Source organism: Homo sapiens, chromosome 22, assembly GCF_000001405.40.
Source record: "Homo sapiens chromosome 22, GRCh38.p14 Primary Assembly".
Lineage (NCBI taxonomy): Eukaryota > Metazoa > Chordata > Mammalia > Primates > Hominidae > Homo > Homo sapiens.
This window is the reverse complement of record NC_000022.11, coordinates 45,956,608-45,969,892: the sequence shown is the minus strand read 5'-3', so window position 1 is coordinate 45,969,892 and position 13,285 is coordinate 45,956,608. Positions and strand designations below refer to the sequence as shown.

Here is a 13,285-nt window from a genome sequence, read left to right as displayed (position 1 = left end):
GCACTCGATGGCATTGGCCTTTGGATCTGAGGATGCCTGGGCTAGGAGGGTCGCTGGGTGGAGGCTTCATTCTGCTCCAGAGAACTTTCAGGAGCTTTCCAGATCCCATTGCTGGGATCCCAGACGCTGGCTGACAGCTGATCCTCCCCCTTTCATCTGGACTGCTCCTCTAGCTCCCTGTCCTGGGCTGTGGTCGGTGCACACCGAATCCCAGACGCATGCCTGGGCCCCTGCCACTGATCAGGTTGGACGGGTGTGTTGGCCTGGAAGCGCCCTGCGCCCCTGCTACATGCTGACTTGCAGCCGTGCTAGGCGGCTCTGGCCAGCCCTCGCCTTCTCTGTGCAGAGCTCTGTTGTCAGTGCAGGAGCTCCCAGGGCCAGCGGGGGTCAGTAAGGGCCCAAGGGAGGGCAGGTAGGGGACTGCAGGCCAAGAGGAAGGCTTGTGGTGCTGGGTCAGCTGCAATGGGGGCCTGGCTGAGGCCTTGACCAGGACCAGGCTGCGCTTCTGTCCCAGGCAGGTCTCTTCCGCTCTCAGTCTTCCTCTCCCAGATGTGGGGGTTGGCTCTGACGACCCCCCCAGGTCTTCCGGTAGGAGCCTGTCATGGTGACCGCCTGCTCTGGGGAGCCAAGTGAGTCATGGGTGACGGGGCGGTTACTCACCGACCACCTGGCTGTGGCAGGGTGGGGGGGCACTTACCACGGCCCCGCCAGGCCAGGCCTCTTCCCGGCTCCACCGCTGTGGCTTTGTCAGCGGTGCCAGCCACAGTCCCAGAAGTGCTGTGGCCATGACCCTCGAGGGGGAGGAGATGAACCAGGCCTACTCCCATGGCACCATGGCCCGTGTGGGGACAGGATGCGCCCCGTGGCTCAGGCGTGTTCAGGTTGCCCTTGGGGGAGGGGCAACTCCCAGCCTGGAGGGTCTGCGTCTATCCAGGTCTGGGAGGGGCTCTGCTGTGTGCCCTGAGCAGGTCCATGAGCCTCTCTGGGCCTCAGTCTCCTCATGGGTCACTTGGGATGGTGATCCCTCTCCCAAGGCTCAGATCAGGCCACGTGTAGTTGGCACTTGAAAGTGTAGAACGTTCCATAGAGGGTGTGCATGTGGGGTTCAAGCTGGGAAATCTGATGAGATCTCAACTGGGGACCCCCCACTGGAGGTGGGCAAGTGGAGCCTCCCTAATCACAGGAAACTCCCCAGAACTCATCACCAGGTGGACGAGACCCAACAACCATTGGCTAAAGGGGAGAATGTGCATCCTGGACCGTCTGTGTGCAGAGGGAGGACAGGAGGTCCTGGGGTGACGCTGGACTCCACGGTTGTGCACTGAGGCCTGTAGGATAATGCGCCGTTTTCTAACATGGTTTCCCGTGAGGCCAAAGGGCATGATAGTGACTCAGATCTGGGTCCTCATCCTGACTCCACAGGGCCCTCACTGCCTGGCTGTGTCCCAAGGCCCAGCTCTTCCCTCTCCAGTGCAGATCACGGGAGCACAAACCTCACCGGGTGGCTGTGGGAAGCTCTAGCTTGATGCCTGGTGTGGTCGGTGTGCAGGAGACAGGCCATTCTCAGCTATCAGGAACAGGGAGGTTGGCCACAGGCAGCACAGAGGGAGGCCCAGTGGCTGTGTTCATTCAGGAAGGAGTGGTGGACCCCCTAGGGCATCTCAGAGGGCTTCCCAGAGGAGATGACTCTCAGACAGGGTTTTGAAGGATGGATAGGAGTTGGCCAGACTAAACAGGCACATGAAAGAGACCCCTAGAAGAGGGAACAATACTGTCAAACACATTCACCAGGGGTTCCCCTCCAGGGAGGCTCAGAACATCTTGCTGAGGTGGGCCGATGGGATGCCAGGATCCAGAGAAGAGGCTGTTTCCCAAGGTCACCTTGGATCCCAGGGGTTCAGCCCTCCCAGTTCCAGCTCCTCACCCAGTGCCCGCGCTGCCTCTGAAGGGAAGCTCCCCCTATGCAGTCCCACGGGGAGTGGAATCAGGGTCTCCCAGGGCCTCAGGCTCCAGCCAGCAGTTGGAGGTGCTGATGGGGGGCGAGGTGATGATCATGAAGTTGGTGATTTTTGAGGCGCCGACGGCACATTATTGTTCCCTCATTCACACACTTCCCTGGGCTCCTCTGGGGACACAGTGGACAATGGCCAAGCAAGTCACACTCCCGCCCCTTCCCCTCCCACCCACCACATCCCCGGAGGCTTGAGTCACCCTGGCAGGGCAGGTGGGTGCCTATGGGGAGCCCAGGGCCCCTGCTTGGGTGTGGACCAAGGCTCTGTTCTCGGAGGACCCTAACAGACCCTGGGTGTGGCATAGCGGTGTTGGATGAGGTAGAGGGCTCGGTTGTGGGTGTCTAGGCCATCGGCCCAGGGCCAGGGTGCGGAGCCAGTGCATTCTGGAGGACTTCCCAATTGGAAGGGGCCACATGCAGTGGGAGCCCCAGAACTAGGACCCACATGCAGTGGGAGCCCAAGCCCTCACGGCTCACACTGCTCCCTGTCATCCCCAGCAGATGGAGAGGCGGTAGCAGGCTCCTAAGGCTGCCGCCCTACACAGCCTTGGGTCCGGCTCAGATGGGGCTCAGCTCCCCTCCCAAAGGGACAGGAGGCCGGGCGCCCTCCCTTGTCAGATGAAACCCCGGCCCAGGGCTCCTTCAGCCTGATGAAAGGGTCATTGTGTGGTGCGGGCCGCCCGCTGGCCAAGGACAAAACCACCGTTTGTCCTCCGTCCCTGGCGCAGGGCTGGGGGCCTCACCTCAGGCTGGCCGGCAGGGTGGGGGTGGGTACAGGTGCGCTCCCTCCCCCCTTCCTTGTCTTCCCACTCAGCCTGCCTGGGGCCCCTCCCCCATCCCTGCCCCTCACCCAGGGCGTTCTTGTCCTCTGAGCGTGGGTCCTGAGGCTTGGGTCAGCTCCACTGTTGGCAGAGAGGCAGTGAGTTCTCCAGCCCCGGAGGCATACAAGCAGATGCAGGAGTGAGGGCCGGGGATGCTGGGGAGGGTCCCTGCCTGGGCAGAGAAGCAGCGCTCACAGGTTCTCTGTGCAAGCAGCCGGTGGAGTGGTTGGCCTTTCCAGAGGCCATCCCACAGTCTCAGTAGTAGAGTGGCAAGTGAGGCTTGGCACAGGGCCATCGACACTTCCTCCATCCCCAGGCTGGAGCAGGTGGCAGCTGAGGTGCTGGAGCTGCCACGAGGCTGGGTCTGAGGCTGTGTGCAGAAGACACTAACGTCCTGCTCCCCCAAGCAGCCTTTGCAGCTTTAGAGTGTGAAGCCTGCAGGTGCCTGGAGCTGGGCCTGGGAGGAAGCCACCGCACCCGACGAGCAGCTTGCCGGGTGTCAGCAGCAACGGAGAAGAGCCCGAGTGAGCATCCCCTGGAGTCCTATCCCATGACCCCTGCAGGCCTCTATCGCTTTCTGGAGCCCTCCCGCACTGTGATCCCTGCTCCAACCCTTCCGTGCCCTGTTGGAGCTCTGAATGGGCCAGGCCGGAGGGAGCCCGGGCACAAGGACTGGTGGTGTCTCAGCTGGCCTCCGCGCAGTGGGTATTGGCGTGGCCAGGGTGAGGAGGCATCCAGAGCTGAGACTTAGGCCCGCGCAGTCCCACGTGGTGAGACAGATGGCAAAGCCCCTTCCAATTGGGAAGTCCTCCAGAATGCACTGCCTGCCCTGCAGACCCCCGCCTGGGGGACACAGGATGAGGCATTCCCACTTCTGGAGGACTCAGTTTCCCCCAGAAGGCCCTCCCTAGTGGGACTGACGTGTGCACAGTGCCCAGGGTCTGCTTTGGAATCTGTGTCCCCCTCGGGCTGCCAGAGAAGGGGAGCTAGGAGAGGCCCGTCTGCCTTGGTAGGTGGTGGAGTGAGGAAGACGAGGTCAGGGTGCAGAGTCACTCGCCCAGGTCAAGCAGCTGAGCCCAGATTTGAGCCCAGGGACTCCTGGCTGTCGGGTCCATGCCACTTGTCACGGTGTTTTACTAAGGCGGGTTTCCAGCCTTGGGCGGGCTCTGTTGCGTGTCCCGTTTCCTGCCTGTCCTCTCCAGGCAGAAACCAATGCCTCCAGTTGCTTAGAACTGTGTGTTGACCAAGAGTCCCCGGGGCCCTGAGCGAGGGTCTCAAGGTTGCAGGGGCTGCCTCCAAGTTTAGCTTTGGGACCAGAGGTGCAGCTGTCCTGCGGGTATGGGAAGCCCAGAGGCCTTCTGTTCTGGGTCTTGTCCTGCTTTCGCCCCTGACCCAGGAGCTCTGAGACCAGCCTGGCCAGCTTTGTTGGGTCAGCATGTGTGTGGTCCTGGATGCCCAGGTCCTGTTCCTGGCTCAGCTGTGGGCTTGCGGCAACCTTGAGGGTATCCCTCCCCTTCTCTGGGCCTCAGTTTCCCCATCTGGGTGGTGGGTCTGGATGCTCCCCCAGGTCCTCTTCCTCCCTCCTCCCCTTCCTGCTGGCTCCACCACCACCCTGAACTTTCCCTTCATGCCCACAGCGTGACGGCAGCCCCCGCGGGTGGGTTATCAGGGCTGGCCAGGTGTGCAGGTGTGACTGGGAAGGAAAGTCCCTACCGCCCTGCCTTCCAGCGTCGTTGACACAAAGCCCTGTGGGACCCACAGCAGGAGCTCTAAGCCATCTGTGATGAGGGTGGCCCAGGGAAGACCTCTCAAGTAAGGCAGCCTCTGACCTCGGCCCTGAAGGACCTGCTGGAGGGAAGGAAGGTGGGTTCCTGGGAAAGGGACAGACGTGGGCAAAGACCTGGAGGTGTGAAGAGGATGTGGCAGCATCAGGAGTGGGGAGCAGCAGGTTTGAGTAGGGCTGGAGCAGGGGAAGGTGAGGTGGGGGCGGGGCCGGAGGCAGTGATCTCGGGTCTGGGGAGCCCAGGGCAGGGAGGAGTGGCTTCAGCAGAGCTTTAGAAAGACCCTTCTGGGCAATGAGGTGGAGGATGGGGAGGCATGGAGGAGGCTGGTCCTGCCCACCAGCTGCAGATGCAGGGCCCGGGACACTCCAGGGCTGAGGAGAGGAGGTGGCTGAGTCTGTAGGACCATCTGGTGGCAGCGGTGCCAAGGGAGTGTGCTTGGCCAGGTCTAGGGTTGCAGGGTTGCCTGCCTCCTCCTCAGTGCTCAGGGCAGTGCCAGGCCCTCACTCAGTCGGTACCCAGCAAATCTGTCAGTCTGATGGCCACTTGTGGGTCTGGGGCCCCGTGAACTCCCAGGTCACGGCCGATTGCCCAGGGGTGGCAGAGCCTGTGGTGGCCCCAGGCGTGCTTGGCCCCTAGTGGCACAGGTGGGAAGGGGGAGTGGGTGGCCCGGGGCTGGATGACTTCCAGGCTCCCCGACTCAGGTCTTCCCAGGGTGACTTCACCACTGACGGGGAAGTGTTGGGAATTTCCAGGTGCGGCTGACACCCCCACTAGGAAGGCAGATTCATCACTCCGCCATCTCCATTTCCTGGGGCTCCTCCTGTGTGCCCCATGACTCCCCTCAGCCTGGGGGGGGCTGGCCTGCAGGGGCCACACTCCTGTGGGCTGAAGCGCTTGTTCGGCCCCATCACTGCTCCAGCAAGGTTGTCACCCGCCTTGGTAGCACTGCCCTGGGGATGGAGTCGCATGTTGGGCACACCTTTCTGAGCCTCAGGGTGTTCAGGGAGTGTTCCTGGGGGTGACAGGCCCAGGATCCCTGGATGCCAGGCAGGCTGGTGTTGTGGAGAGAGCACCGGATAGGGAGTCAGTGGCTCCGGGCTGCAGTCACTCCATGTCTGCAGTAGTCCAGAGTACACAGGGACACAGGGCCTGGGGACCTGTGGGACACAGTCCCTGAAGTGGCCAGGCTGGGCTGCTGTGGACCTGCACCTGGGGAGGGGCACTGGGCTGAGGGCTGCAGATTGCACATGGGCCGCACCTGCTCTCTCTCAGAACCTGCCTCCCCAGCTTGTGGCCTGGGGGCTCCCCTCCAGGCTGCAGCTCCTGGAGGTGCGGGGGGTCACCTGGCGCCCCATTGTGCTCTTGTATTTCCTTCTGGCATCTTTAGGAGCCAGGCAGGGTGTGCGGTGTGATGCCTCCCTCTGTTGCGGGAGTCCCCTGCTTTGGAGCAGCCTTGGAGGGTGGCTGGGGCTGGTCCCCTACCTTCAGAGTCTGGGGAGAGCCAGGCTTTGCAGCCAGCTCTGACTGTGAGCCCAGAGCCCAGCTGGGCTTCCACTTACCGCCTTCCACGGTGGAGATTCCTGTGGCAGGGAAGACGGGAGGGTGGGAAGAGGCAGAGCCCAAAGGTGGGGGGAAAAGCCACAGGGTCTGGTCCTGCTCTTGTCTCTGATACCAAACCACTGCCACGTTGCTGTGTGGCCTGGCCCAAGATGCTGCTCCTCTCTAAGCCGCCTCTGTAAAATGGGAATGATGAACTCCAACTGGGGGCTCGCCGTGGGGAAGGCAGGGACGGCACTCAGGACCTCGGGCCACTTCAGTCAAGGCCCCTGGAGTTCTGAAGGCTCCATAAGCACTCACTCAGCCAGGCTGATGAGAGGCAGAGGAGGCTGCCCCTGGGGAAGTGGGCACTCTGGGCCACAAGGCATCCAAGCTGAGCAGTTGGCTAGGAGGCGGTGGCGGCCTAGGAATTCTTGGAGGGAGCATTCCAGAAAAGTGGGCTGCTTGAAAGGTGAGGGGGATGTGGAATTATGCATAGGGGACTTCTGACCCAGAATGGGTCCCCTGCTTTGGAGAATGCAGATGACCTGTGTGGGGCTGGCCTGGCTCTGGCTCACATGCTGTCTGAGATGCTGTGTGGCCCAGGCATGGACTGGGCGTGGCTCCCATCTGTTCCTGGAAGGAGGACCCTTCAGGACTGCGGCCTGAGGCTGAGTCCCAGGGCCGGGAGCTCAGCCCTGTCTTGCAGTCTGCAGAGAGGTGGTGGCTCGGCCCCCAGACCTGCCGCTCAGCCAAGTCCAGGGCAGCCAGGAAGGCCGAGGCGCTGGCCCAGCCGCAGAGTGTCCATACTCCCATTCTGGCTATGGGCCAATGGGGCCTGCCAGCTCTCTCCAACGTGTTCCACCTGTCTGTCCACCCACCCATCTGTCCTGAGGTTTCAGGTTGGCATCCTGGTCACCCAGGCCTGCAAGGCGCCCCTGCGTCCAACAGATCTGTGGCATCAGGGCCAGGGCCAGGACTGGGACTCCCATCCTTGCTAGGGTCTCAGCTAGCTGTGTGGTCTCAGGTGCTGTGGCATCTCTGGGTGTTTCTGTTCCCATCTGTACTGTGGGAAGCAAAGAGAAGGGCCAGAGTAAGACCTGGGGAAGGGCATAGCTGAATTTCAGTCCCAACGGCTTCCTCAGGAGCCCAGCACAGATGTGATCCTGCAGGGAGTGGAGAGGGGAGAACTGAGAGAGACCCTGGTGGACTTCTTGGAGGAGGAGGCACTAAGCTGGGTCTGGAATCTTGCCTGGCTGCTGGAGGGAGCAAGGTACCTGCCCCTGGAGGGGGAGGAGCTGGTCCAGTATGGCCAGCACCTGGTGCATCCTGGTGGGCCCTGGGTGCCGGTAGAGATCTGGAAGGTTCTGAAGTCAGAGGTCAGCGTCCTGTGGTTTGGGAGGTCACAGTGAGTGGGTGAGGCTCTCATTTCACAGATTTAGCAGATATGGTGGCTGGGAGTGTCTGCCCTTGACCTCATTAGCTGCGGGCCCCTTGTGTTGGCCAGGGGTGCAATGGACCCCATGGCTGTGGCTCATCCACCTGCAGCGGCCTCAGCCCTGCCTGGGGCCCCCAGCTCTTCACCAGCTTTTTCCCAGGCGGTCTGGTTCTTCTCCAGGGTGGGGTCCCAGGCTGCCAGGCCAGGAATGCCAGCTATGTGGGGAGGGTGGGAGGGCAGCCGCCCGCCGGGGGCGCGAGGGAGCAAGCGGACGCTCTGCTCCCTTCCCTGGGAACACTGAGAGCCAAGAGCTGAGCAGAGCAGTGGCGTGGAAAGAGTGGCAGGCGGGACTGTGGTGGAGTGCAGCCTGCAGGATGCCCCACCCACCAGCAGGCCAGTTCTCCCTATTGAACAGACCGGCAAACTGAGGCTCAGGGAGGCCAGCGAGAGCCAGTGGCTGAGCAGAACTCAAACACAGGACCCCAAACCCAAGCAAGCAAGCGAACCTCTTTAGGACACAGCTGCAGGTACCCAGATTGTCACCTCAGCCCCTCACTACACAGATGGGAAACTGAGGCAGGGAGGGGCAGGGAGGAGCAGAGGGATGGCCTCATTCCTGAGCTGGGCCCTGGGGGTGTCAGCCCTCTGCTCTCCCCAGCCCCGTCCTTGCCCACCCCCCACCTGCCCAGCTCCCTGTGCCTCCTCTAAGGATGCACTGCCCCGGCCCCCACCCACACTGCTCTCTTCTGATTGCTGTCTCTGAGTCTCAGTTTCCTCATCTGTAAGGTCAGGCTGGCAAGGACCAGCCAGGGGAACCACAGTGGGGAGAGGGTGGGACAGGGTGGGAAACGGTTCCAGGGCCCCACACACCATGAACCTGCTTGGAAAGGGGAGCGCTTTGGGCCTGTCCCTCCCCCACAGGTGTAAGGCCCCTCCCGGGCCTCCCCTGCCACTTGCCAAAGGAGAGGTGATTGTTCCCTGCTCTCAGATGGGAAAACTGAGACTCAGAACAGCCTTGGGGTGGCCGGGCGGAACTCCTGGCCCAAGCCCCACCCCCCTCCACCCCACGGAGCTGGGCCCTGAGAAAGGACGGGGCACCAGCTGTTGAGCCCAGACCTGTTATTCATTCTCTCTGGTTCCTTCTCACCGGCGCGCCCAGCTCTGGGCTGCAATGCGTCCCTTCCAGCCTCCTCTGAGGGCAGCGCCAGAGCTGCTGTGGGGGTCAGGCATTATGGGGCAGGTGCAGGTGGAGCTCTGTTCTGGGTGAGTAGATACCCATCTGGCCAGTCTGCAGCCTGTGGCTCATGGGGTCTGCTGAATGACCTCAGACCTGGCCCACATTCTTATCCCCATTTGACAGGCAGGAACACTGAGGCCACCACCAGCCCCTGCCCCATACTCAGCCCCAAGGAACCCTGCTGGCTCCAAAGCCATAGAAGAGCCCCTATATGGATGGAAAGTTCCGGGCCAACCCTCTGCCCACCTAAGGAAGAGGCTGGCGAGGACTCGGCCCTGGGTGGGTACGGAGGCCAGGTGCTGTCCTCCCGGGTATCTGCTGACTTACTTCCTGGATGGGTGGACCCAGGCCCGCCTCCCTGGCTGATCACAGATAATTGGAACATTCTTCAGATATTTTTGCCAGAAGATGCCTGAGAAGGAAGAATTACAAAGCGCCCCGGGCCAGAAGCGTGGGCCGCAGGAGCCCAGGGCCGCCCGGCAGCCAGGGCCAGGGGCCGGGAGGGAGGCTGAAGATCAGGCCCAGGCTCAGCCAGCCTGTCCCTGCCACCCAGAGAGCTGGGGAGGGGGCTGCCCATGCTCCCTCAGCTGGGGGGGTGGGGTGGCTCATGACCAAGGTGAGCGTAGGGCCTGGCCAGGTGCTGGGCAATTCTGGGGACCCCTGCCCTGGGGAGTCTGCCGCTGACACAGTGGCCTTAGGACAGCCTGAGAGGTCAAGCACAGAGTCTGGGCACTCCCAGAGGGGGCTGGTGGGTGGGAGTGCCTCCCCAAGGAGGGGTCTCTGCAGTGGAGAGCTCAGCAGGTCGGGGGCGGGCCAGCATGCGAGGAAGGAGGAACGGGTGTGGGCAAGAGTGAGGGCTGAGGGGGCAGGTCTGGGGCCACCTGGCCAAAGTGGCCAAGGAGAAGCAGCCTGGGCTGGGGCTGGGAGGTGGCTCAGGCAGGCCCCGAGGCCATGATCCTGCTGGTGTCAGGGTGGCGCGTGGGTCCATGCCAGGGGCAGGATGGTGGGTGCCCTGGGGGCAGAGCGGGGCATGCTGGGGAAAGCCTTTCTGATCTCTGATGAGCTTTTTGATAGAGGTCCATGTTATCTGCGGGGGAGGGCAGATGGCCCCAGGGTTCCCGCTTCTGGCTCCTGTGGCTCTGGGGGGTCTGGGATGCTGAGGCCCGGGCAGGCTCCAGCTGGGTTCCAGGAAGAAGTCAGATCTCGTGTCTCCCCCACGGAGAGCTGCCCCGGTCCTTCTGGGGAATGCTTTCAGTGGCGGGGTAGGGGGCTACTTCCACCCTGAACTGGGTGGGGTAGGCAGCACTAGGGCTGCTTGGGTGCCAGGTTGGGAGCCGGTGTCCAGTCCAGAGCGAGGCGGGAGAGCGGGGGTCCACCCAGGTGGGAGGAGTCTCTGCTGCTGTGGGGTCATTTGCACCCCCACTGGCAAAACAGAGCTGGGCTGTGGTTTGTGGGGTCGGTTTTTGGGAATTTGGAGGAGAAACGGGATACTGAGGTGGAGGTGCCTGGCTCCCAGGCCTCCTCGGGACACGAGCCCACATCTTTGTCATAGCACAGCCGACTTCTCCCAGGCTTCATCACCAGAAAGACACAGCTTGTCCTGTTGCTGGCGGGGAGCTGTGCCCTCTCGAGGGCGACTTTGGGTGGTTTCACCCTCATAATCCTCACCACCCCATCCCCCAGTTTTAAACGCAGGGCCCTGACGTGGACCGTGGGCATTTTCTCAACCCTATGTGAAGTGGGGGTGCAAGCTGGTTTCGACTGACCTGTTACACAGTCTGAGTGACAAGGGGACAGCCCACGGCCGCGCTGCTGCCCACCCCCTGTCCAGCCTGCAGCCCCAGCCCTGCTGAGGGTGTCCCAGATGCCCCATCCTGCTGCCTGCACAGGCGGGGCCTCTGTCGGGGAAGAGTGTCTCCCGCATGTGTCTGTCAGCCACTCGTCACCCACCATTCATTCACTCATTCTGCGGTGACAGCTGAGGCTCTGCCACGCCTGGCCTTGCACCAGGCCCAGCATATCGTGGGGAGTAAGACAGGGTTCTGCCATCCTGGACCCAGCTATGGGGGCTCGGACCTGTTCGGGGAGGGCCCGTGACTCAGTCTGGAGCCTGAGAGACTCCTTGCAGCTGGGTGCCCGTCGGGGGGCTTCCTTCTCCAAGAGCTCCTCAGGGAAGGCCCACCCCACACAGCCTGGCCCCAGATGCAGCCTCCTGCCCCTGACTTACATGGGAGGGTGGCTCTCCAGGAGGACAAGTGACCATACTCTGCCCATCCTGCCCCCGCTGTCTTCGAGGGTCAGGAATGGGGTATGTCCCAGGGGCAGGGTTGATGACAGGGCACTGGCCAGCCCCGGGACAGTGGGGGTGGGTTCCAGCCGTGCTCGCTCCCTGCCTTCCTGAGCTACCAGGCAGGCTGCTGAACTTTTCTGGACCTCCGATTCCTGTTCTGAGGGAAGAGTAATCATGATTGTTGTCACCATTCTAGCCCTTGGCCCCCCGAGCTTTGAAATAGCAACCATGAGGGGACTCTGAGGCCAGTCAGGCATGGAGTGGGTGTCCACTGTGCCTCAACCACTGAAGACCCCGACAGCATGAGGGATTTAGGTTAGACTCCTACCTGCTGGGGGAGGCTTTGAAGCGGGAGAAACTCCTGAACACAACAGGGGTGTCGGGGAGAGGACAGGGTGGCTCTAATTCTGGTCACAGGTGAGATGCTGCCCACTCCCTGCCACCTGGGCTCAGGGTACCCAAGAGTAAGATGACAGGTCACCCCAAAGCTCCTGAGAATGTTGGAGGAGGGAGCCCCCAGGCTGGGCCTTGGCAGAGACGGTGTCGCCCAGGTGAGGGTCTTAGCCAGAGGGGCCACGTCCCACAACCCTGTTCCTTCCTGGCCTCCGCATCACTGCTGACGGGCCCTGCTCCTTTGGGAGGAAGGATGGTGGCTATGTGGGTGACTCTGTCCACCGCCTGAGTGCCAGGCTGGGCACGGGCAGAGCAGGAGGCCACTCCACCAAGGGCTATGAGCCCCTACAACTCCCTGAGGTCTCCTGCACTTAACCTTCTCGCTGCGTGGGAGCTGCTGCGGTGGGCTGTTGCCCGCATTCAGGGTCCAGAGAGGCTGAGGGCCTGGTGGGGACAGGCTGGCTGATGGGCACAGGCTGGGGCAGAGGAGCCCTGGCAGGGCATTCTGGCTCAGCCCAGCTCTGCCTTAGGTCGGTGGCTGGCCCAGCCCAGCAGCCCCATGGAGCGTGTGTGCAGGAAGGGCTAGCACCCCCCGTGCGGGCTAGGCACATACAAAGCACACGGGCATGATTTGTAAAGTTGGCATTTGAATTTTGAAGCGTGTTTTCTGTTTTTTTTTTTTTTTTTTTTTTTTTTTTTTGAGACGGAGTCTTGCTCCCTCACGCAGGCTGGAGTGCAGTGGCATGATCTCGGCTCACTGCAACTTTCGCCTCCTGGTTCAAGCAATTCTCCTTCCTCAGCCTCCCAAGTAGCTGAGATCACAGGCGTGCACCACCATGCCTAGCTTATTCTTGTATATTTAGTAGAGACACAGTTTCACCATGTTGGCTAGGCTGGTCTCAAACTCCTGACCTTAGGTGACCCACTCGCCTCGGCCTCCCAAAGTGCTGGGATTACAGGTGTGAGCCACCGTGCCCGGCCTGTTTTCTGTATTTTAATTATTGTAAGAAGCCTGGAGTTTCCATTCCTGCTTTGTTATTGCCCCATTTCAATAAAGTCACATGCTATAATGCTTTACTTTTATGCTGAGATATAACTTATGTAAAGCACAGAAATCTCAAGTGGACACCTTGATGCATTTTTACATACATGTGGCATACAGGCAGGCTCCCTCTGCTCACTCTCAGTTGGTGCCACCCACCCAAGGGTAACTATTGTGATTTCTGTCTCCAAGATGAGGTGGGCTTGTCCTGGGGATTTTTTTTTTTTTTTTTTTTTGAGACAGAGTCTCGCTCTGTCACCAGGCTGGAGTGCAGTGGTGCCATCTTGGCTCACTGCAACCTCCAACTGCCTGGTTCAAGCGATTCTCCTGCCTCAGCTTCCTGAGTAGCTGGGACTACAGGCACACGCCACCACGCCCAGCTAATTTTTGTATTTTTAGTAGAGATGGGGCTTCACCGTGTTGGCCAGGATGGTCTCGATCTCCTGACTTCATGATCCACCCATCTCAGCCTCCCAAAGTGCTGGGATTACAGGCGTGAGCCACCGCGCCTGGCCGGGGATTTTCAGAAGTGGTGGAATCCACACATCCTCTTTCCTGGCTTCTTTCACACACCATGATGTCTGTGAGGCCCATCCGTGTTGACGTGTGTCAGCAGTTTCCTCACCGTGTAGTCACGCTGCATGAATGGACCACACTTTTTTTATCTATCCTCCTGTTGACAGACGCCTGGATTGTTTCCCATTTGTGCTATAGACCCATGTGCGTATCCTTG

At 61.3% G+C, this 13,285-nt stretch overlaps 1 protein-coding gene across 2 annotated transcripts in view, besides 5 other annotated features; it reads left to right on the top strand.

Moving 5' to 3' along the window:
• WNT7B (Wnt family member 7B) overlaps window positions 1-13,285 on the top strand; it is a 56,797-nt gene that overhangs the window by 7,270 nt on the left and 36,242 nt on the right. The window lies entirely within an intron of this gene.
• Window positions 118-1,317: an enhancer, noted in NCBI's record as "P300/CBP strongly-dependent group 1 enhancer chr22:46364456-46365655 (GRCh37/hg19 assembly coordinates)". NCBI's record gives its function as "activates an origin of replication core promoter dependent on BRD2, BRD4, P300/CBP, MED14 and CDK7 cofactors, with strong dependence on P300/CBP, by STARR-seq in HCT116 cells {active_cell/tissue: HCT116}" and the evidence as "EXISTENCE:reporter gene assay evidence [ECO:0000049][PMID:35650434]".
• Window positions 395-1,298: an enhancer, noted in NCBI's record as "H3K27ac-H3K4me1 hESC enhancer chr22:46364475-46365378 (GRCh37/hg19 assembly coordinates)". NCBI's record gives its function as "activates a minimal SCP1, AML or CMV promoter by ChIP-STARR-seq in primed H9 embryonic stem cells {active_cell/tissue: H9 hESC(primed)}" and the evidence as "EXISTENCE:reporter gene assay evidence [ECO:0000049][PMID:30033119]".
• Window positions 490-784: an enhancer, noted in NCBI's record as "tiled region #1865; HepG2 Activating non-DNase unmatched - State 20:ReprD, and K562 Activating non-DNase unmatched - State 10:DNaseD". NCBI's record gives its function as "activates a minimal TATA promoter and a strong SV40 promoter by Sharpr-MPRA in HepG2 and K562 cells {active_cell/tissue: HepG2 | K562}" and the evidence as "EXISTENCE:reporter gene assay evidence [ECO:0000049][PMID:27701403]".
• Window positions 2,014-2,910: an enhancer, noted in NCBI's record as "H3K27ac-H3K4me1 hESC enhancer chr22:46362863-46363759 (GRCh37/hg19 assembly coordinates)". NCBI's record gives its function as "activates a minimal SCP1, AML or CMV promoter by ChIP-STARR-seq in naive H9 embryonic stem cells {active_cell/tissue: H9 hESC(naive)}" and the evidence as "EXISTENCE:reporter gene assay evidence [ECO:0000049][PMID:30033119]".
• Window positions 6,464-6,964: an enhancer, noted in NCBI's record as "H3K4me1 hESC enhancer chr22:46358809-46359309 (GRCh37/hg19 assembly coordinates)". NCBI's record gives its function as "activates a minimal SCP1, AML or CMV promoter by ChIP-STARR-seq in naive H9 embryonic stem cells {active_cell/tissue: H9 hESC(naive)}" and the evidence as "EXISTENCE:reporter gene assay evidence [ECO:0000049][PMID:30033119]".